The sequence below is a fragment of the Homo sapiens genome, chromosome 3 (genome assembly GCF_000001405.40).
Source record: "Homo sapiens chromosome 3, GRCh38.p14 Primary Assembly".
Taxonomy (NCBI): domain Eukaryota; kingdom Metazoa; phylum Chordata; class Mammalia; order Primates; family Hominidae; genus Homo; species Homo sapiens.
This window is the reverse complement of record NC_000003.12, coordinates 104,800,383-104,825,098: the sequence shown is the minus strand read 5'-3', so window position 1 is coordinate 104,825,098 and position 24,716 is coordinate 104,800,383. Positions and strand designations below refer to the sequence as shown.

At 35.8% G+C, this 24,716-nt stretch overlaps 1 long non-coding RNA gene across 6 annotated transcripts in view; it reads left to right on the top strand.

Annotated features, from left to right (window-relative positions):
* LOC107986108 (uncharacterized) overlaps positions 1 to 24,716 on the top strand; it is a 279,502-nt gene that overhangs the window by 84,884 nt on the left and 169,902 nt on the right. For 4 of the 6 annotated variants that reach the window (XR_001740833.2, XR_001740832.2, XR_001740829.2 and 1 more), the window contains 2 exons: positions 7,486 to 7,626; positions 15,400 to 17,323. This is a non-coding gene — a long non-coding RNA (uncharacterized LOC107986108). Of the gene's footprint in view, positions 1 to 7,485; positions 7,627 to 15,399; positions 17,324 to 24,716 lie in introns of those variants that run through there. The other 2 variants (XR_001740831.1, XR_001740830.1) reach the window with 1 other exon arrangement.

Here is a 24,716-nt window from a genome sequence, read left to right as displayed (position 1 = left end):
TAGTTATGGAGTATATAATTTTTTCCTCTTTTCCTCATAGTAAATCTTGGTGCAAACACAATTATATTCAATATGATATGATGGATACATAATTTTCAGTGTCCTTGGCCACACCAGGACTCAGGGTCATTTGGACACATATATGGAGAAGATAGTGGGAGAACAGATGTCCTTTCATTCTCTGAGCTGCTTCTTGCATAGGTAAAATTATCAAATAAAAGTTGAAATTTATTTTATATTTCCCTCATCTTGACTTGTCTTTGTTAACCTTATTGTCACAATTGTGACTCTTTCATCAGTCTTGATTCCTGGATGACTACAATAGTGAGATTCCTCCTGCTGACACACAATGGACAAACAATACAACAAAAACAGCTTTTTTATTTTAAGCCACTAATTTGTGGATCACATGTTATACTGATCAGATATAGCTGATCTGAGTAATAAAAATGCTAAAATTTAGACAGGTGTGATGGCTCATGCTTGTAATCTCAGCATTACAAACATGCTGAAAGGCCAAGGCAGGAAGGTCATTTGAGGTCAGGGGGTGGAGACCAGCCTGGGTAACATGGTGAGACCTTTTTTCTACCAAAAATTTAAAAATTAGCTGGGTGTGGTGGTGCATGCCTATAGTCCCAGCTACTTGGGAGGCTTAGTTGGGAGGACTGCTTGAGCCCAGGAGGTCAAGGCTACATACGGTGAGCTATGATCACACAATTGCACTCCAACCTGGGTGACAGAATAAGACTGTGTCAAAAAAAGAAAAAAAAAGCTAATATTTATTAGGCAAGAGCTTGTACTGGACACTGTGCTAAATGTTTTATAATCAATATCTCAATCCTCATAGCAACAGTGTATGAAAGATAATATCTTTGGCCAGGCATGGTGGCTCACACTTGTGATACCAGCACTTTGGGAATCTGAGGCAGGTGGATCATGAAGTCAAGAGATCAAGACCATCCTGGCCAACATGGTGAAACCCCCATCTCTACTAAAATATAAAAAATTAGCCAGCTGTGGTGGTGCGTGCCTGTATTGCTACTCAGAAGGCTAAGGCAGGGGAATTGCTTGAACCCGGGAGGCAGAGGTTGCAGTGAGCTGAGATAGTGTCACTGCACTCCAGCCTGGTGACAGAGCAAGACTCTGTCTCAAAAAAAAAAAAAAAGAAAGATAATATCCTCATGTTTTGTGGGGGTCTGTCCCTCAAAACCTGACCCAATGACAGATGAATGACATACACTGAAACAGATACTTTGCCTGTCAATACGGCTGACGGTCTGGGCCACTCACAGACACCAATGACGGTGCTGTAAATAGTTGCAGCCACGGCCGTGATCTGCCAGCAAAACTAGCATTTATTCAGTATAGATAAAATGACAAAGGCCTTGAGTAAACACCACTAGAGGGTAGTTGATACTGCTGACCTCCCGAGTACACAGCAATTATGCTCTCCTAGTTGATCGAAGGTTGGTCCTAGGACCACATGAGTAAACAAGCTGTTTAAACTACTCTACATTCTTATGTATCTATGCCCTATGCTTTTAAGATAATTCAGCTACCTTCAGCCAAACACTTTATGCAAACCCCCATACCTTCCAAGAGGGTTTGTGTTATTTCCTATAATTTTACAATTTCTCCCACTATCCTGACTGAACCCCCACATTCTCATCCCCATTTCCAAGTGAAAAAGTAGGATTTATAGGCATTTGTATTAGTCTTTTACACACTGCTGATAAAGACATATCAGAGACTGGGCAATTTACAAATGAAAGAGGTTTAATTTGACTTACAGTTCCACATGGCTGGGGAAGCCTCACCATCATGGTGGAAGGCAAGGAGGAACAAGTCATGTCTTACTTGAATGGCAGCAGGCAAACACAGCATCAGGAAGATGCAAAAGCGGAAACCCTGATCAAACCATCAGATCTCATGAGACTTATTCATTACAATAAGAACAGTATGGGGGAAATTACCCCCCATGATTCAATTATCTCCCTCCAAGGTCCCTTCAACAACACATGGGAATTATGGGAATACGATTCAAGATGAGATTTGGGTGGGAACACAGAGCCAAACCACATCGTTTTGCCCTGGGCCCCTGCCAAATCTCATATCTTCACATTTCAAAACCAGTCATGCCTTCCCAACAGTCCCCCAAAGTCTTTTTTTTTTTTTTTAAGATGGAGTCTCACTCTTGTTGCCCAGGCTAGAGTGCAATGGCACAATCTCAGCTCACTGCAACATCTGCCTCCCTGGTTCAAGCAATTCTCCTGCCTTAGCCTCCAGAGTAGCTGGGATTACAGGCACACACCACCACACCTGGCTAATTTTTGTATTTTTACTAGAGACTGGGTTTCTCCGTGTTGGTCAGGCTGGTCTCAAACTCCCAACCTCAGGTGATCTGCCCACCTTGGCCTCCTGAAGTGCTGGGATTACAGGTGTGAGCCACTGCATCCGGCCCCAGTCCCCCAAAGTTTTAACTCATTTTGGCATTAACCCAAATGTCCATGATCCAAAGTCTCAACTGAGACAAGGCAAGTCCCTTCCGCCTATGAGCCTGTAAAATTAAAAGCAAGCTAGTCATTTCCTAGATACAATGGGGGTAGAGATATTGGGTAAATACAACTGTTCCAAATGGGAAAAAATGGCCAAAATAAAAGTGCTACAGGGCCCATGAAAGTCTGGAATCCAGCAGGACAGTCAAATCTTAAAGCTCCAAAATGATTTCCTTTGATTCCATGTCTCACTTCCAGGTCATAGTGATGCAAGAGTGGGTTCCCATGGTCTTGGGCAGCTCTGCCCCTGTGGCTTTGCAGGGTACAGCCTCCCTCCCAGCTGCTTTTATGGGGTTGCACTGAATGTCTGCAGCTTTTCCAGGCACACAGTGAAAGCCGTAGGTGCATCTACCATCCTGGGTTCTTGAAGATGGTGGCCCTCTTCTCACAGCTCCACTAGGAAGTGCCCCAGGAGGGACTCTGTTTGGGGGCTCTGACCCTACATTTCCCTTCTGCACTGCCCTAGCAGAGGTTCTCCATGAAAGCCCTGCCCCTGCAACAAACTTCTGCCTGGGCATTCAGGTGTTTGCATACATCTGAAATCTAGGCAGAGGTTCCCAAAACCCAGTTCTTGACGACTTGTACCCATAAGCTCAACACCATGTGGAAGCTGCCAAGGCTTGGGATTTGCACCATTTGAAACCATGGCCTGAGCTCTATGTTGGCCCCTTTCAGCCATGGCTAGAGTGGCTGGGACACAGGGCACCAAGTCCCTAGGCTGCACACAGCTTGGGGACCATGGGCCCGGCCCAGGAAACCACATTTTCCTCCTAGGCCTCTAGGACTGTGATGAGAGGGGCTGTGGTGAAGACCTCTGACGTGCCTTAGAGACATTTTCCGCATTGTCTTGGGGATTAACATTTGGCTACTTGTTACTTATGCAAATTTCTGCAGCCAGCTTAAATTTCTCCTCAGAAAATGGATTTTTCTTTTCTTTCGCATTGTTGGGCTTCAAATTTTTTAAATTGTTATGGTCTTTTTCCCTTTTATAACTGAATGCTTTTGACAGCACCAAAGTTACTTCTTGAATGTTTTGCTGCTTAGAAATTTGTTCTGCCAAATACCCTAAATCATCTCTCTCAAGTTCATAATTCCACAAATCTCCAGGACAGGGGCCAAACTCTGTCAGTCTCTCTGCTAAAACATAAGAATAGTCACCTTTGCTCCAGTTCACAACAAGTTTTTCTTCTTCATCTGAGACCACTTCAGCCTGGACCTTATTGTCCATATTGCTATCAGCATTTTGGGCAAAGCCATTCAACAAGTTTCTAGGAAATTCCAAACTTTCCCCCTTTTCCTGTGTTATTCTGAGCCTTCCAAACTTTTCCAACCTCTGCCTGTTACCCAGGTCCAAAGTCACCTCTACATTTTTGGATATCTTTTCAAAACACCCCATTCCTGGTACCAATTTACCAAACAATCTAATAGATTGCTTTCATGCTGCTGATAAAGACATCCCCGAGACTGGGCAATTTAAAAAAAAAAAAAAAAAAAAAAGGAGGTATAATTGGACTTACAGTTCCATATGGCTGGGGGGACCTCACAATCATGGCAGAAAGCAAGGAGGAGCAAGTCCCATCTTACATGGATGTCAGCAGGGAAAGAGAGTATTTAATATTTTCACATCTTGTACATCATTTCAGAACTCCTTTGCTTTACCTCTTCTTTCAGCCATTGCTGCAGTGACCAATTCCAATTCCAAAAGGTTGTTGATGGGCTTAACAAAGGTGAAGTCACACCATTCCTTGGCTAGGCATACCTCTCACATCTTGCTCTTAGCTCTTTTCTGCACCGCAATATGAAACAACCACAGCTCTACATTTGTACAAGCACAGCTCAGGGCCATGTAACCAGAACATGAACCAATAAAATCTGAAGGACTGTGCATCTATTCTTAACCCATGGGTGTCAGGAGACAATGGGAAATGTGCTCTCCCCATTTCCTCCTAATACAGACAGCTCTGACATTTTGTAAAATTTCTTAGAAGGTCTTGAAGTCAGTATCCAACTTGCTAAGACATTCTTGCACTGGCTTTCCTTCCTTTTCTTTTATTCCAGTTGTCCTGAATGCCTTCTCCCTTGGATCAGACAATTAAGCAAACCACTGGCATACAAACCTTTGTCTCAGGCTCTACATAGCTAGAACCAGGAATATAACATTAAGCAGCCAGCCTAAGGACACACAGTTTCTGTGGCACATCTAGAATCAAGGAAGAGTAGGGGTAGAAACAATGCCCCTAACCACTATTAAGCACAGCCTTAATATTTGTTGTTATAATTTGCATTCTTTTTTGTACCATGAAAGGTTTTTAAGCAACCGGATCCTCTTTGGCACCTTTTATTTCTCTCATATAATGACAACTCTTTGTGTGTGTATGTGTTCTGATTAGCATGTGTCATAGTTTCTGTTGTGTTTTTGCACCTGCTTTTGAGTAAACACATTTCGTTTCTTTATAAAAAGCCTACCATGTAATGACTTTTGAAAAAAAATACACATTAGTTTATATATTTGGCTTTTAATTTCAATTTTTAAAGTGACCTATATACAGTCATGTGTCACTTAACGTCAGAGATATATTCTGAGAAATATGTTATTAGGTAATGTTGTTGTGAACATTACAGTGTATTTACACAAACCTAGATTGTATAGCCTATTACAAATGCAGGTTATGTGGCATAGCCTTTTGCTGGTAGACACCAATCTGTACAGCATGTTACCAAACTGAATATCGCAGGGAATTGTAACACAATGATAAGTATTTGTGTACCTAAACCTACCTAAACCTAGAAAAGGTACAGTAAAAATACAGTGAGGCTAGTCCCATCATAATCTTATGGGATTAACCTCATATATGCAGTTAGTCATTGACTAAACTGTCATTAAACAGCTCATGACGGTATATTACGTATATGATTTTCTAAAGGCTTCCTATCTTAAGACTTTTAAACATAATTTCTTATAACACTCTTATCTATAGAGACTAACATATTATAGTATCCACAAAGCAAGAGAGAATTATTGCATCATCCACATGTTTTAGAGCATGAGAGACTTGTAAATAATTTAAAATTTTGTGATAGCCACATTAAAGGAGTAAAATAAAAGTCATAATTGATTTATAATATGTTTTATTTAATCCAATATGTACAATACATCATAAATATACTTTCAAAATGCAATCAATATAAATATTTATTAATGAGATATTTTACCTTTGTTTAATACTAAGTTTGTGAAATTAAAGATCTTGTACTTACTTGTACTTACACCATATCCAAATTTGTTCTAGCCACTTATTCAAGTGCCCAATAGCCACATGTGGACAGCGACTCCCATATGGGACAGTGCAGTAATCCCTACAGCTTACTATTTTTGCTTGAAACTTAATATTTCTTTCAGACATAGTTTATTTTATCTGTTATGTCAGGGGCTTTTTTTTCTATAGCTCTCCAAATATGTTTAATAGGTTGAAGAAATATTTTTAGGTCAATAGTTCTTGATTTCTTTTGATTCATTTATTGAAAACTGCCTAATAAAAACCTACATTTTACTTTTTGCCAAATGTGTCTGTTATTTGACCATTGTACCACTTCAGAACCAAGTTGCAAGTCAAGTCAGGGTTCAGTTTTAGGATGATATATTTAAAACATATTCAAGAATTATACTGTGTTTATGAGTTGAAATCATCTATACTGTTTACTTCCGTGAGCCATAACTTACTAAGGCAGCCTAATGTCTTGGAAGAGGTAATAATACAGCTATTACAATGTTTACCTTAAACAAAAAGAGTAGTTCAATTTGAGGAAATACTTTATCTAATATTTAAATCATCTTTTCAACATTGCAGCTTACTCATCTGTAAAACGTGGTTCCTGAGTACCTACCTCATAGGAATGTTGTAATTAATTAGCTAATACAGAGAGCCCCTTAGAACTGTGCTTGGTTCCTAAATAATCCTTCAATAATGTTAGGTATGATTATTATTACAATTACTGTTTTATCAGAGTGTATTTTCTTGAAGTGAAAATTTCTATAGAAAACTGTTTTGAGTAGTTACAGGCATAATTTGTGCACATAAAAATTATGTAAAGAAGCTCATTGGAAAATACACATATGCTTATATATGTCATATTTTTTCCCTATCAAAAATATAATACAAAAACTATAAAATAATGAAAAATAACAAATTTACAATTTTCTATCTTCTACCACTTGCCAGTAAAGAAAAACATTTCCAACATTCTAATCACAGTTTAATTTTTAGTGCAATACATTATTATTTTCTTGTGAAATCTGTATATATTTGGATAATTTTAACTTCTCACCCACCTCTGGCAAATTCATTAGAGAATACTTAAATTTTGGCAACTTTTCAGAAAACGGTTCTTGGCTGAGAATTGAGTTGATGTTATAATGGAACATATAGGTTAGATAAATAGGTCACGTGTGATTTTATGTGTTCATAAATATCAGTGTGTCTTTTAAGGTAGTGTTGAGTGGAGGGCAAGGAGAGCGGTATAACTGCCGTCTGTATGAGCTATAGATTATCAGCACGTACAAGAAAAGCAGTACATTTTCTTAAAAGGCAGTAAAGACCTAGACCTTGACATATTGCTTGATAGAATAGTTCAGCAATTTGTTGAACCCACATTTTTTACTATTTCTGATTGCATAGTTGGTAAGTAGGATAAAAGTTGGCAAGTTGAGAAAATGGAGCTTTTACAGTTTGTAGGAAAGAGGATTTAATGCCACTGCAAGTAAATGGATAGTTTCTCATATGCAGTTTAGGTACGACAAAGAAAGCAATCATTCTGACAATGGGAGGAAGGTAGCTTAAGGTGGGAAGTTATTCACAGCATCCATTATTTAGTATTTTTGGAGATGGATTATTTTGTCCAAATTAGTACTTACTCTTGTAATTTTTTGCAGATGCTGTTACGAACTTCCCTTAGAATCAACCCATTTGTGAAACACCACATTAATAAGAGCAGTATCTTTGGAGATTGGAGAGTCCACCAAGGATGCCCACTGGCTCCCTACAAAGTTTTTTATGTGAGGACTCGGTCTCAGGTAGGATATTTCTTCACACTTAACATTTCTGCTGGGGTAGTACAGTGGGCATGTTCTAATGTCTCTCATTCTACTTACGTCTAGCACAGTTGCATGACAATATTCATTTTTATCTATGTCAGAACAAGAAAGCACTAACTTCTAATAAACACACACTAACAGAAAAGGTAAGAAGATCTGGTATTAAAAAAAACAACAAACAAATCAAGCAAAACTCACTTCCTTAAAGTCAGCTGTTGAGATTAAAAACATCATTTGAGATGAGATGCGGTAGAAAATGTTCAAATGTGTTTATTTTCTAATTTTAACAAGCATGTACAATGAAAATAGATGGCGTAGCTTTTATGCTAATAGGTCACAAGAAACTGTTGCAGAAAGACATATTTTCTCTTTCGTCTATCCACTTAATAGTCAAGATAGAGCAATTGTACATGGAATATTTTTATTAGAAATAAGAGACCTAATTATTTTCACTAACTTAAAGTCCCCTGACAGGCTGTCTTATGGAAGTAACTGCACAGTTAAAAATTAATCATGTGGCCTGCATACCAGCCTGTTTACCAGTTTATAATCAGTTTGATTCCTGCAGCAGTGCAATGTAATGTGAGGAAATGCTTTTCTACAGAAGATCCAGATGCATGTAGAGCATCAAAAAAGTGTTGTCAGTTTGAACCAGAAGTACTAGAGAAAGTCATTTGCAGAGCCTCAAATAGACTGCTATCTAGCTGTCTAACTCCAACTTAGTTTTCTTACCAGGGATCTTTACTTAAAATGTTTTTTATTTCACAATGTCACCCTACATTTCTTTTTGTAACCTAAAAGACATAGCATAGAACATCAAATTATGTTACACAATGAAGCATAAGTAAAATGACAAAAAAAAATTAACAAACATACAAAAACTAATCAATTAGAAATAAAATATTTGCCAACTACTAGGACAAATGAAATTCCCTTATATTATGCACTAAGGACTCTTGAATGCTAGGACACCCATAAAGGAAGGCAAAAAGTACAATGTTTTAGTAGTCATTTAAATGTTTCCATTTTACAGATGGTTTTCTTATGTATAAACTGGAAAACATAACTGCAATTACTTCACAGTGTAGATGCAATAATTTAATGTCCTAATGTAAATAAAAGCATACATCAGGGTTGTCTGGCTATGAAATAAGCATTTGATAAATGCTCAGGATTAATAATCATAAGGCATTATACATTTATTTATTCATTAATATCAACTAATAATATTAATATCAATTAATAAATAATATTAATTAATATATCTTATAATGAGAGCTATGGTTTATTCAAAGATTATTCTTATTTTAATAAATGATCTTCCGGTAAAGACTTGAAAGGAAGCAGGTCATATTACAAACAAATCAGTTTGCTGGACGACTAGTTTGATGAATTAGAGATTTTTGAAGCCTTAGTTGGGCTGAGAGGGCCCTGCAGCTCTTTTGCCAGAGCAGTTTTAAGGCAGCCTCCTTGCAGAGCAGCTGTATTTACTGTCAGTTTTCAAGGGCCTTGTACTCCTGGAATTTCCATTTACTTGCAAATATTAGACATTCCCTTCAATTCATCCCATCTTTTAAATTTTCGCATAACTGTTTACTCTGACTTGTCCCAGTTTCCTTGCCCCATTTCCTTCTGTTACTACCTTTGCCCATGTGTCAGAGTCCCTAATATGTAAGTGCTTTCTTGCAATATTTTTTTGCGTATTACAGGCATTGATTCTCTCTTAGTAAACTTTGTTCTGCCTTTAGAAATCTGAACATCACTTTTCTTGACAGAAAAGTGTCGTAAAGGGTTCTTATTTTCTGTCTTTTTTTTGTTCTGTTCTTCTTTGTCGTTTCTTCACCCTTTCTCTTCCTGCTCTGCAAAAAAAAAAAAAAAAAAAAAAAAATCCCCTTTCATCTTATTTTGTATTATTCTAAGCTCAATGTGACCATGACCCTCCTGACACTGCCTTCATACGGCATAATGATAGTGTTAGAAATGCTCCTGTATTTCATTTGAATAAAGTCTTCAAAACTGGAGTGATTTTTAGAGCTCCCTTAGTAGCCCTTACAATCTTTTTTATTTGCATATTCTTTTTTTATAATATTTTTTAGTCGTATGCATTAATATTTTTTAAATGCTAGAAAATAAAAAAACATAAGAAAAAACACCTCTCATCTCACCAAAAATAGCTAAACATAATAGTTTACTGAATCTCCTTTTATTTGTTTATATATACTATACAAACTTGTTTTGTTTTGTAAGTAAAATAGATTTGTGCTAGTTTATAACCTTTTATTATTTTTTCTATATGCTGACATTTTCACATTAATAAATATAATTGTCCTATGTATATTTTAATGGCCACAAGATGTTCAATTGTATACATGTGCAACAATTTATTTAACCAAGCCTTTACTTTTGCTACTTAGGCTATTTCTAATTTGTCACAATTATAAACAATGCTATGGTAAACATCTTTGTACTTAAGTCTTGAGTGTATCCTTAATTCCAAATCATTAATTCTTTTTTAAACAAATTTCAACTTTTACTTTAGATTGAGAGAGTGCATGTACAGGTTTGTTTCTTGGGTATATGACATGATGCCGAGGTTTGGGGTATGGTTGATACTATCACCCAGGTACTGAGCATAGTACGCAATAGTTTTTCAACCCCTGCTTCTCTTCCTCCCACCCTCTCCCTCTACTTGTCCCTAGTGTCTATTATCCTATGGTAGCTAATATTTAGCTCCTACTTATAAGTGGGACCATGTGGTATTTGTTTTTCTATTCCTACATTAATTTGCTTAGGATAATGGCCTCCACCTGCATTGGTGTCGCTGCAAAGGGCATAAGTTTATTATTTTTTCATGCCTGTATAGTATTCACAATGTATACGTTCCACATTTTCTTTATCCAGTCCATTGCTGAGGGAAACGTGGGTTGATTCCATGTCTTTGCTATTGTGAATAGCGCTGCAATTAACAGACAAGGCGTGTGTTTTTTTGGCAGAGCAATTTATTTTCTTTGGATATATACCCAGTAATGGAATTGATGGGCCAAATGATAGTTCTCTTTTAAATTCTCTGAGAAATCTCCAAACTGCTTTCACAGTGTCTAAACTAATTCACATTTCCACCAACAGTATATAAGTGTTCCCCTTTTCCACAGCCTTGCCAGTATCTGTTGTTTTTTGACTTTTTAGTAATAACCTTTCTGGCTGGTGAGAGATGGTATCTCATTGTGGTTTTGACTTGCATTTCTCTGATGATTAGCGATGTTGAACACTTTTCATGGTTTTTGGCCACTTATATGTCTTCTTTTTTATTTATTATTTATTTTTATTATTATTTTTTAGAGACAGGGTCTCCCTATGTTGCCCAGGCTATTCTTTAACTCTCGGGCTCAAGTGATCTTCCCATATCAGCCTCCCAAAGTGCTGGTGTTACAGGCATGAGCCACCTCACCCAGGTTATGTCTGTCTTCGAGAAGTGTCTGTTCATGTCTTTTGTCCATATTTAAATAGGATTATTTCTTCTTTGTTTGTTCGATATTTTAATTTCCTTATCGATTCTGGATATTAGAACTTTGTTGGATGCATAGTTTGTGAATATTTTCTCCCATTCTCTAGGTTGTCTCTTTACTCTTTTGACAGTTTCTTTTGCCATGCAAAAGCTCTTTAATTTAATTAGGTCCCATTTGTCAATTTTTGTTTTTGTTCCAATTGCTTTTGCGAACTTATTCATAAATTATTTTCCAAGGCCGATGTCCAGAATGGTGTTTCCTAGGTTTTATTCTAGAATTCTTATAGTTTGAGGTCTTATATTTAAATATTTAATCCATCTTGGGTTAATTTTTGTATGTAGTGATAGGTTGAAATCCAGTTTTATTCTTCTGCATATGGCTAGCCAGCTATCCCAGCGCCATTTATTAAGGAGTCCTTTCCCCACTGCTTATTTTTGTCAATTTTGTTGAAGATCAGATAGCTGTAAGTGTGTGGCTTTATTTCTAGGGTAAATTCTGTTTCATTGGTCTATGTGTCTGTTTTTGTGCCACTACCATGCTGTATTTGTTACTATAGCCTTATACCAGAGTTTGAAGTCAGGCAATGTGATATCTCTGGCTTTGTTCTTTCTGCTCTACTATTGCTTTGACTATTAGGGCTCTTTTTTGGTTCCATATGATTTTTATAACAGTGTTTCTTAGTTCTGTGGAAAATAGCATTGGTAGTTTTACAGAAATAGCATTGAATCCATAGGTTGCTTTGAGCAGTGTGGTCATTTTAATGACATTGATTCTTCCTATCCATGAGCATGGAATGTTTTTTCATTTGTGTGACCTATGATTTATTTCAGAAGTGTTTTGTAGTTCTCCTTGTAGAGACCTTTCACCTCCTCATTTACATGTATTCTTAGGTATTTTAGTTTTTATTTTTTGGCTTTTAAAATGGGATTGTGTTTTGGATTTGGCTCTCAGCTTGAATGTTATTGGTGGACAGAAATGTTACTGATTTTTGTACATTAATTTTGTATCCTGAAACTTTACTGCAGTTGTTTACCAGGAGACTTTTGGCAGAGTCTTTAGGGTTTTCTAGGTATAAAATCATATCATTGGCAAAGACAAATAGTTTGACATCTTTTCTGTCCTATTGGGAGGACTTTTATTTCTTTCTCTTGCCAGATTGCTCTGGCTAGAACTTCCTAATTCTTGAAATAAAGTTTCCAGGTTTAAGTTGAAGTAAAAAAAAAATATGTATTATTAAGGCTTTAGGTAAGTATTTGCAAAGCTGTCTTCCAGGGAGATTTTATAAGTATAATTTTACTGAACCTCTTTCATAATGGGTATTATAAGTGTATTAATTTCTGTGTTTTTTTAAAAAAAGGTGAAGTTAAAATTTTCTATATTAATTGATAAATTATACTACTTTTTATTTGTTATATTAATCATTATATTTTAATTAACAATAATTATATGTATTTATCAGGTACAATGTTACCTGATGATGTATATATATATATTATGGGATTATGATTAAATCAATGTAATTAACATACACATTACCTCACATACTTATCATTCTTTTGTGTTACAAGCATTTAAAATCTTCTCTTTCAGCAATTTTAAAATATACACAACATTATTGTTAACTATAGTCAACATGCTGAGAAATAGATCTCAAAAATTATTTCTCCTGTTTAAGTGAATCTTTTTACCCTGTGACCACCATCTCCCCAATCCCTGGTAACCACCATGCTACTCTGCACTTCTATGTGATTTACTTGTGTTACTGCAAATGGCAGGATTTCATTCATTTTATGGCTGAATAGTATTCCACTGTGTACTTATGCCACATTTTCTTTATTCATTCATACATTGGTGAACACTTAGGTTGATTCTGCATCTTGGCTATTGTGAATAGCGCTGTAATAAACATGGAAGTGAAGATATCTCTTCAATATTCTAATTTTAATTCTTTTGTATATGTACCTAGAAGTGGGATTGCTGGATCATAAGGTACTTCTATTTTTACATTTTTTGAGAAAGCTTCCTACCATTTTTCATAATGGCTATAGTAATTTACATTTCCAGCAACAGTGAAATGGATTCCCTTTGCTCCACATCCTCTCCCATGCTTGTTATATTTTGTCTTTTGATAAAGGACATTCTAACTGGGGGTAGCTGATTTCTCATTGTGCTTTTGATTTTCATTTCCTTGAGATTAGTGATGGTGAACATTTTTACAAACCTGTTGGCTATTTGTGTGCCTTCTTTTGATAAATGTCTATTCCAGACTTTCATCATTTTTTTAATTTGCCTATTTGTGTTTTTGTTATTCTGTTGTTTGAGCTCCTCGTATATATTTTTTATCTTAACCCCTTGTCAGATGAATAGATTGCAAACATTTTCTCCCATTCTATAGGTTGTTTCTGCACTCTGTTGATTGTTTTCATTTTCTTAATTCCTTTTTTGGATAGTTTGTTGATCATGTATAGAAATGCTATTGATTTTTGTATGCTGATTTTGCATCCTCCAAGTTTACTGATTTGTTTATCAGTTCTAACAGTTTTTGGTGAAGTCTTTGATGGTTTTCTGTATAAAATTACATCATCTTCAAACAGAGACAATATTACTCCTTCCCTTTATGTTTGGATGCCTTTTATTTCTTTTTTTTTTTTTTTGGCTAATTGCTCTGGCTAGGATTTCTAATACTATCTTGAATAAAAGTGGCAACAGTGGATATACTTGTCCACTTCTTTTAGTTCCCACATAAAAATGAGAACATGCAATATTTGTCTTTGAGTGCTTGGCTTACTTCACTTAACATAATGACCTCTATTACTCCACTGATTGCCAAGGTTGATTCAGCTGGTGTAACTGGCTAGGCAGGTGCTACCTTCCTCCCCTACTGCTCCATGTGTGTCCTTCCCAAGCTGCGTGCTCAGTGGAGTAGGATGACTTTCTTCAGTGGAGGAAGACTATTCTTTGGTCAAGGGTATTAGAGTAGTTGTGCTGCCCTGCTAGAACCTCCAAACAAGCCACATTGATTTTTTGTCTGCCACCCCATAATCTCTCCACATGCACGGAGCCACTTGAAGTTTCAATATTTTTTGCTCTAAAATTTTAACACATGTTTAAGAACAAAAACATTTCTTTATATAACATGGCCATTGGCATATACAATAATTTAATACTGATAAAATAATATAATCTAAAATATAATTTATATTTCAATTACTTCCCTTATGCCCAAACTTTCTTTTATAGTTTTTTTTTAAATTTTTGTATCTGAGAGATAAACAAAGGACATGCATCATATTGGGTTGTAATATCTCTAATTGCTTTCATTCTAGAACAATACCTGGGTCTTTTCCCCTTTCCTTTGTTTTTCTTTCTTTTTTTTTGATTTGTTGAATACGTTTTGCTATAACAATGGTGTTTTGTAAGTCTAAGATAGTTGACCCATAAAATATCCCATGTGTTTGATTATTTCCTCATGATTAGATCCAAGTCGAACAGTTAGGACTTTTGCTCAACAGGTCTTAGTATGTTATTCCCACTGCATCATATCAGTAAATGCATGATGTAGTTTGTCTCAATTCTGGCGATGTTAAGTTTGGATCCTATATTCAAATGTTTCCCACTAGAGCTCTCCTTTCTGAAGGTGTCTTCCCCTTCTGTAACAAATAAGCTATCTGTGGTGCAATGATTTGAGACTGTAAAAATATCAGAATAGTTTTATTAATTAATGATGACCCTTACCAATTATTACATTGGTGGTTATAAAAATGGTGACCTTTTAACTCTATTTTTTCCTTTACATTTATTAGCAGACATTCTTTTAAAAACAGACAGTGTCGGGCCAGGCGCGGTGGCTCACGCCTGTGATCCCAGCACTTTGGGAGGCCGAGGTGGGCGGATCACGAGGTCAGGAGATCGAGACTACCCTGGCTAACACAGTGAAACCCAGTCTCTACTAAACATGCAAAAAATTAGCCAGGCATGGTGGCGGGCGCCTGTAGTCCCAGCTACTCGGGAGGCTGAGGCAGGAGAATGGCATGAACGCAGGAGCCGGAGCTTGCAGTGAGCCGAGATCACGCCACTGCACTCCAGCCTGGGCGACAGAGCGAGACTCCGTAAAAAAAACAAACAGAAAACAGTGTCATCTCTGTTTCTTCTCCCTTACTTTGAGTATAGAGATTAATGGACTTTTGTTTTCTTCAATGTAATATAATCTATCGTTGTCATTATTTTTATGCTAAATTTTTTCCAGATATGGCTACTGGGATTCTGTTCAAACTGAGTGAAGACATCATCATCTTTCTTTGAGATCTTCCTTGCTTTCTGGCCAAAGAAGTTATTCCCTGACCCGACTTTCCAAAGAGTACTAGTTCCTTTTAGCAGTGATTAGAAACCTGATCTGAGTACTACTGTGTGTGCTTGTGACTAGTGTGGTTTTATTGTTTCTATGTCCTTTCAGCGAGCAGATCTACAATGAGGGATACATCTAAACAAAACTCCATATTAATAAGTCCAGTTGAAATCTAACAACATAGGGTTCTTTCGCATTCTCTTGCATTCCATATTTGTATATTCGTTCACCCATGGTGGCAACCCTGGCTATTAGAAATATAATTGTATTTATTTTGCTGTATCCTACAATAAAACAAAAAAATTAAGAATTACTATACCAACATCATGATAAAAATACACATACTAAGTAAATCTGTTATGTAAACTACAAGTGTGTTTGTAGCATTTTTGTTTTTACACTATAGCCTACTAAGTGTGCAATTAGACTTCTTGCTCACTGGTTTCTGTTTACTTTTAATTTTAGTATTTACTCTTGTTTCCCTTCCTTTTTAATTTTATTTTTAAAATTTATATAAGATTTATACTTTTTAAAATCGGAGTTCAAAATGTTTTCTTAGAGCAGTTTAATTCCCAGCTTTAGTCTCTCTTCTTTATTTCCACTCTACCATTTAGGTACCATTTTCTACCGTTTCTGGTTTATCTTTCCTGAATTAATTTCTGAAACCTAAGGGAGCATACAAACACACAACAGAATCACACACATCATCAACACACACAGACACATACACTCACCTGGGCTTCATTTAATGAAAACAACATCTCTGGGGAAGGGTTCTATGAATACTTTATCGAAAAAAACAAACTCCCTGGATTATTTTAATTTGTAGCCAAGTCTGAGGAAAAATATTTTAAACATTTTCAAATCCGCCTTTTGTAATGGCTGGTACTGGCTGTTCCCCTTCTTCGTGAGATTCCCACCACTTCCACTTCAGCAAATATTCTTCCTGCTTGGCAGAATTCTATTCATGGCAGGAGTTTTCTCATTATTTCCTAGCCTCGCAGTGATCAAACTGTCAACAAGAAAAGTCAAGAATGTATTCAATTCACCACTTTTACTTGAATAAGACAACCATATACATTCGTTGCAGTTTTCAACAGTGAGCATTTATTAAAGGAAAGAGTACTTGAATAAATGTATAAATGGGTGCAAACACGAATTAATCAGTAAATAGACATGTGGCAGTTCTCTTTTATGTTTCATGAGCCAATCATTTATTCCTTCCACCTCCCCAAATAACTTATTGTAAACAGCTACAATGATGTCACTTCTGCTCTTTGATTCTAACACCCTTTCCCATAAGTTCTCCAAGGATGTTTTGCTGTTAGCTCTATAACATTGGAAAATATCACTTAACTCTTCTGAGCTTCATTTTCTATAAAGTTGGGCATAATATTGATGTCCTGACAGGTCTTTTTGAATATGTATATTAAAATATATATATCGTCTTTTAATAAGTTTTAAGGTAATACATCCATATAATAATACTGAAAATCACAGAGCCGTGATACCTGAAAGATTTCATTTATGTCTCAGTATTAGAACATAACTATACTCCTTTAGTTACTAATGCTTCATGGATTGGTATGTAGAGATCTAACGCCGATAGTATTATTTCTTGGTTATTGTTAGAATTTTCTATAGTTTTCTTACCTTACATCGTAATATTCTGCTTTGCAGTATTTCCATTGATTTTCTTAGAAATAATAATAATAATGTTGAAAGTTGAGCACTGAAACTTGAAATGACAGTCAGTGATGTCATATTTTTAAATTCTATTGTCATGAAAAATTCTCAAAATAAAAATAACAGTTGTGAAAAATAACAGATACGTTTAAGAAAATGTTACTGAAATATTTTGGTTTTCAGTTATGAGAAGGAAAAAAATTAAGGCATCCCATTTGTAAATAAGGTTAGGTAATAAAAGCAATAGATTAATCAACAAAAATATTAATGTGATATAAACAGAGGCTAAATAAGGGAGAATTTATGCATCCTCAGGTACATCACTTTTTTTTTCTTATTTTTTTTGCTGCTCCTTCATTTCCTTTATGCTAAATTTCCTTCCCCCCAACCAGTCAACTGATAGTTTTTAGAGCTGACACAAAAGGTTTGTATTTAATTATGAAATGTGTGTTTTTATTTATATTATCTTTTTCTAAAATATTCAGGGAAGCTCTTGAAGAGTCAGGAAAATTTTCAACTTTTAAAAAGTAAGGGTAGTTACTTAGCAATTTTCAACCTGTGAAAAAGTCCTGTAAATAAGAGCCTATGTCCACATGTCAGACAAAATAATTCTTATTGGTAAGGCACCAATACAAATGTTACAGATGACTATGATTAAGTTCAGATTCTGTTTCTAAGGGCCAAACACTTAAAATCAAGACCAGTTTCACGGCCACGTGACCTGGGCAGCCACACAGGGCCTAGCATTCAGAAGAACCAGCACTTGGGGGTGGGTGGAGGGGGGAGGGGGGAGGGATAGCATTAGGAGTTATACCTAATGCTAAATGACGAGTTAATGGGTGCAGCACACCAGCATGGCACATGTATACATATGTAACTAACCTTCACATTGTGCACATGTACCCTAAAACTTAAAGTATAATAATAGTAAACTAAAAAAAATAAAAATAAAATAAAATAAAAAAAGAACCAGCACTTGGTTTAACACTTTGCTGCCACTGTATTGAAATTCTCAATATTTTTTAACAAGGGATTCACACTCTTATTTTTCACTGGCCCCATAAATTATGTAGTTGGCCCTGTACAAAATTAATTTTTCAAAGACACTTTTTAAGGAAGAATCAAGAGAAGATTAAAGAATCAATGCTATCAAGGTACTGGCATAATCAGCAGCAAGAGCTGAAAGATCTACACATCTCTCTTGGATGTGAAACATAATTTTAAAAAGTCTGTAATAACTGTGTGGGGCCATCTTTAGTCATGTATGATCACCTTATTCCATAAATGATGTATAAGAAGTATCCACATACCACAAAGTAGTATAAGGAGTATCACAGATGTTGCTTTTTCTTTATGTACACCTAGAGAGAGAAAGGAAATTGAACAAAGGGAGACAAAACTTGAAAAATCCATATTAACTTTTTTTAATTGAGATATAAAAGAGAGATAGAAAAAGAGCAAGAGGGTGAATGAGAGAGAGACACAGAAGGAAATAGAGAGGGTGAGAGAGCACAAGAATGGATGTACTTTTTGAAAGACACGCATGAAGAAATTACCTATTTATATCATTAAGGACAAAAGAGTCTCACTCCAAGGTAGGGTATTTGTTAGGGAAGTTATTGATATTATTGCATGAGAAGAGCAATGATAGTTAATATTGCTTGTTTTTTTAATGTCAAACATTAAGTACTGTCTATGTATTAATTCATTTAATCCTCACAAATACTTACAATGTAGGCACTAGTTATTATTGTCTAGTTTAAAGAAAAAGAAAGGCACAGAAGAAAGAGAAATAATTTGGCAAAACCATGGTCAATGTTGGAAGCAGGGTTCACCTTAAGAATTGATGACAGAGCCCAGGCTTTACCCAGTACACACTTTATTGTCTCTCTAGCAAAAGTAGGCTTTGGCCAGAAAATTGTAAAATGTTCTTTCTAGTGGCCCAGAACTCTAATTTAACACTTTCCAATAATTATCACACTCCTGGATTCTAGCTATTATGTCCTTAAGAAGATGTTTCGGGGAGAAAATATTTTGTCTTGCAATAAACACCGAATTGATTTTTGTTATCTCATCATGCCCAGCTCAAAAAGCATACTTTTGCATATGGGATTAATCATTGTCTAATGGGTCTCACAGGCCTCTTTATCCCAGCTCACCGGTCTCCAGATTGTGGAAAAACATGCATGGCAAAGGTGATAATATTAGCCTAGATTTTAGGCTGCCTCAGCCTCTCCCCTATGCCAATAAACAGACTTTAATCTCTGGGGCCGTCAGATGAGCAGCTTCACAGATGTTAAACTTCCTGCAAATTAAGCACATGTAGGGGGAAAAAATTACAATTACGGCAAATGCCACCCTGCTAATGGTTTCAGTAGGGACATTAGTGAATTAAACTGGTGTGGGAAACTAAATCCCTTAATTTTGCTGCTGTCAGTGTAGCAAATTATCCACGTTTTATAATTTATTTAGTTTTCATATGTACCAGAGTAGACTTTTTCTTTAAATCAATCAACAACATCGTCCTTTGTAGTCTTCTTTAAAATGATAGACTGTGTGTCTGGCTGTCTGGTTGGCCACTCAGAGCTAACCTCTGCTCCAGCCAACTGCTGCAATTAGTTGATGGATAATTCAGCATATTTTTATACCTGTCAAGCCAGCTTTATACCAACATCTGCCTTGACAATTCAGAGAGAGAGAGATCAGTGCATGTTTACTCGGGTTCATGTGAAAACGGAAAATTTAAGAAGTGCAGGTTAATCGTCCAAATTAACAGCCAGGTGTAATGGCTTCATTGTGTACCCATCACCTGCCACTTTCTCTGGCCAGTGGGTTTGTCTTTACGCTTTTTTGTTCCCTTGTCACTTGGTGTACAGCACCATTTTAATTGCAGAAATTGATTCATCTATAGCAGGTGAATGATAATTCAACATAACAATAGGCAAAATCATTGAAATGGGATGTCTGAGGTGAAAACGTGCCTTTGTCAGCTATGTTTGGTAAAGAGCCTAATCAGAAATTTCTCATTGTATTTTTGAAGACTTATACCCACTAAAAATTATATTCATCTCATGTGTTTCCAATATTTGAAATAACTCTGAAAACTCCTTTGTAAGCAAAACACAGTGACATTGGAAATCAATATATTTCTCTTTTTCAAAGTCCTTCTACAATACCATCCAGAAAGTTGCTTGAAAATAATCTTTTCTCCCTTGTAGGCTGTGGCATAAAACTTTTGTACAGTATCTGCAGATTCAGCTTTGTAATAGGGGTGGCATAAGATACTACACAGCATGATGTGAAATACCTGGAATCCCAGTCCCAATGACCAAAACTTAGTGCTCCTGTACCTCACTAATATAATACATATATGTTCAGTATTTTTATCTTGCTTTTAGTGAGAAATTAGTAGCAAACATTTATGGCTCTTGCCAGTTGTAGAATTTCATGGCTATCTGGTCAGTTCATGAAGTAGTGGGTGCCTATTAATCAAGTAGAACTACCTGTTAAAAAATTTAGATCCCAGATAATCAGTTTTTCAAATTCGAAGGACGGGTCTTCTTCAAATCACATTTTGAGAAACATTAACCCCATGGTCATTTAAAATTCCTGTAACTTTCTCTTAGTCCTCTTATCATCTTCATAGTCAACTGAGTTTTGTGAAGTATAAAGACGTTTCAGAGCACTGCAGTTTACATTCAATATAGAAACATGCTTAAAACCTGGTAACTACGATTGAGGGATTACAATCAGATGTGGGAGGATAGATATTCACAGACAAAACTGTCAAATGAAGGAGTGAAAATTAGGTGCTAAATGAATAGTACATACAACAGTGTCACAGTTCAGTGAGAGATTGATCACTTAAAGTTGCAGGTGTTGGGGAAAGCTTCCCGGAAGAAAGCCTGGAAGAAAGAGATTTTATTTCATATTTGAAGTAATAGCTGAACAGAAGGGAAAAAAAACTTTAGAAGAAAAAAATAATTAACAAATAATTGGAGATAAAGATGCATATTGACTATCTACTATGGAGACTGAGGTGGGAGAATCCCTTGAACCCAGGAGTTGGAGTCCAGCCTGGATAAGACAGTGAGACCCATCTCTTAAGGAAATGCATATTGGATATCTGATATTTAGGGAAGAATGATGGGATAATCTCTGTTAGATGTCCACGGTTAAAAGAGGCAAAAATGAATTAAATGTAAACAAAAGAAAAGAGGGATTTATAAGACAATAAAGGGTTACAGGAAAACTGCAATTTGGAAGCCTTCAGTATCCAAATGTAGACATGAGGTCTCCTCTTTTCTGTGAGTGGGATTTCTGCATTTTAACAAGTTTATTCTGCTCTTTATTTTCTGTCCTTTTCTCTCAGTATGGGGTAAATTAGTGCCTACATCATAGAATATCGTGCATATATGTGTGGGGTTAAATGAAGCACCCATCCATACCATAATTTCTTGTTGAACAATACAGGCATATCTTTTTGCATGATCAAGTCAGTTCAGAATTTCAGTGGCTGTGAGTGTGTGTGTGTGTGTGTGTGTGTGTAAGACAGAGAATTAATTAAGAACTAGAACACTTATTTTATTCCAGAACACATATTAGTGTAACAACAGTAGTTGTTAAGAACTAGAATAAAAGTTATACTAATCAGAGAATAAACAATTTCTTATATTCAGATTCACAGAACTGGTTGTTTAGAAATAAATTAAATTCATCTCAATAATAGATGTGTTTGGACTCATTTTTAAGACCCTAGAAGAAGCGCTAAAGTACCTCCTGTTTCTTCTTTTTCCTCCTTTAAGTGTACTAATTCACTTTTCTCCCCTTCTCCTACCCTGTTCAATCATTATAAGATTAGACTGAGTTCACATCTTTGTTTGTAGAGGATTAGTGACTAGGCTTCTGAGAAAAATATACGGAGAGGCCTCTCTGGATGAAATTTCCACAGATGGCTCCACAGCTGGAATAGTGGCCGGGGGTGGGGAAGAGTAACATTTTACAGAATACAATTGTTTCACAGCAAAGGTTATGGTCAAGAAAAATACCCTGAAATGTTTGTGGTAAAGAATATTATGGCAGGAAGAAGTAAGAAAGAATGTACAATTAAATTTAATCAGCAAACATTTATCAAATGTATACTAATCACAAGGCACTGAGGCAATCACTTTCCAATAATTTTATATTTTTTTGAAATCACTCTTCTCTTCAAAATTAGTGTAAATTTTATCACTGTGGCATATAAAAGGAAGATAATATTTCAACTGAGAAGGACTTTGGATATTATTAAATATTTCGAACTTATCCTGTATGCAAAGATCAGCCATTGAAGGCTTTTGAGCATAGAGAACAGTTAGGAAAAATGTTGTTCTGATTAGGTGATTCTATCGACATGCCTAGGGTCAATTGCAAATTGAGGCTGGGGGCTGCCAGACCAATTGGGCCAATATTGCAATTGTCAGGCATGAGAATGGACTGGGATGCTAAAATGAAAAATAAAGATAGACTAAGATGCCAGAGTGATGTGTATTTCATGTCTGGCTGCATGTCAGGCAGAGAGATGATAGGCAGAGCCAAGACCTAGGTGCCCAAGCAATAGGCCTTTCTTTCCAAAGTAGCACCACATTATTTTTGAGCTCTCTGTTTTTAATTATCAGCTGTTATAAGAATATCTGTATGCTTTCCTTTATCTCTAATGTCCATATTCAATATTTTCGTTGGTTGAACATCTTTCTCAGTCTTTGCTACTAAACTAGATTTTTGTCCTCACAGAATAACTCTAAAAAAGGCATAGCACCCATTTAAAAATGTTTTTCCATGGATCATTCTGACACTTGAAATTAGATGAATTATTTTTATCCTGTTTTCCAGGTGTCTTTAATAAAACTATTTATATCAGTTAAATAATTTTATAACAACAGTAATGTGAAAATGTTTTAAACTCATTATTATTCATCCGATGATGTTAAGGCTCTTTCCACCAAAGGCTTTGGCCCTCTCTGAAACTGTGAGGGAATAAATGAGTTATAAACATCCCCTTCAAACCAAAAATAGGCTAAGAAAATTTTCACTGATGGTTCAGAATAGCCGACCTTTTAATCCTAAGCCTTGCAATAACAACTTGTGGGCCCGAAAGCATTGATTGGTTTCGTTCTATGACATGGTATGACCCTAGACGTGTTTATTAAAACAAAGAAGGAAATGTAACCTGAAAAAAGGTGCTCAATTACTTGTTTTAAGAAGCTAAAAGGGGCATTATTTATGAGTGAAAGCAAATGCAATATTCTTGTGTGGAATCTGCATTTAATGATCATTCAGATTTCTTCTTGGGATAATTACAAGCAGACATTCTTATAACAGTTTTTTATTAGAAAGCAAACTTTTTCCTTAATGATTAGTAAGTATCCTTTATAAATAAAAGGTAGATAGTGTAATTGTGTACCCACCATAATTGTTGCATTTTTTTTTTTTTTGTAGCTTGTTGCTTTCTTTCTCATTCCTGTTAAACATAGTGCACCAAGTCAGGTCTGGGGATCACCTGTGCAGTTCCTCAGCGGTCAAAAGGCAATTTTTTCAATGTGATTATGAAAATTGTTTTTGGATCGATTTAAGACTGATATCACAATAATATAATATTCCAGTCTAGAATCTCATAGGTTACTTAAATTAAAATTAATTTTTGTGTTCCTACATTTTAGTCTTATTACACTTGCTGGAATAGAACTAATCTTTCAGGATTAACATTGCAAAAATATCAAATGCTTATGTAGAACTGTATGTTTGCCAAGTACTTAGACAAGCATTTTCTCATGTATTGTAGCCATGATGCATATGAAGTAAATTACTGTTGACAATCTGGGTTTCATCTTTCTTTTCGATCTTTCTTTTACAACATGCTCATAATTTTCCATTTCTTAAAAAAAAGCATGCTCCTTCCTATGATAGGGTCTTTCAATTATTTCTATCCCCCGGTAGTAATACTTGTCATCTCAAATCAGACAAACCTTGTTAATTTCTACTCTTCTTTCAAATCGCCCCTCAACTCATAACTACCTCCTATTTCCCTAAGTGATTAGTCCTAATTTAAATTTTTGTTAATAGCACATATCTCAGTCATAATATTGGAATATTGTTGTGACCATTTAATTATAGGATTTCTCCTTTATTCTATTGTAAATTCCTTGAGTGCTGAGCAAGTGACCATTTTTGCCCATCATTGTATCCCAGGAGTCAAACATATAGCCTACCACAGTGTAAGCATTCAAAAATATTTATGGAAGAATAGACATATGTCTTCTTCTCATTATTATACTAAATTCACAGACAAACATAATGCTTTTATCAAAGAAAAACACCTTTCTGATGACCACACAGTCAGTAACAGACAATTGAGACTTGCATACTGACACTTTGTCTCTAAATTCTTTTTTTTTCTCATTTTCTTGACCTCCTAGATACTTTCCACTGCCTATTCTTTGTTGCCTTTCTTCCCTCCACCCCCAACCAGTCTCTTCTCCTCTTTGTGAGACTTT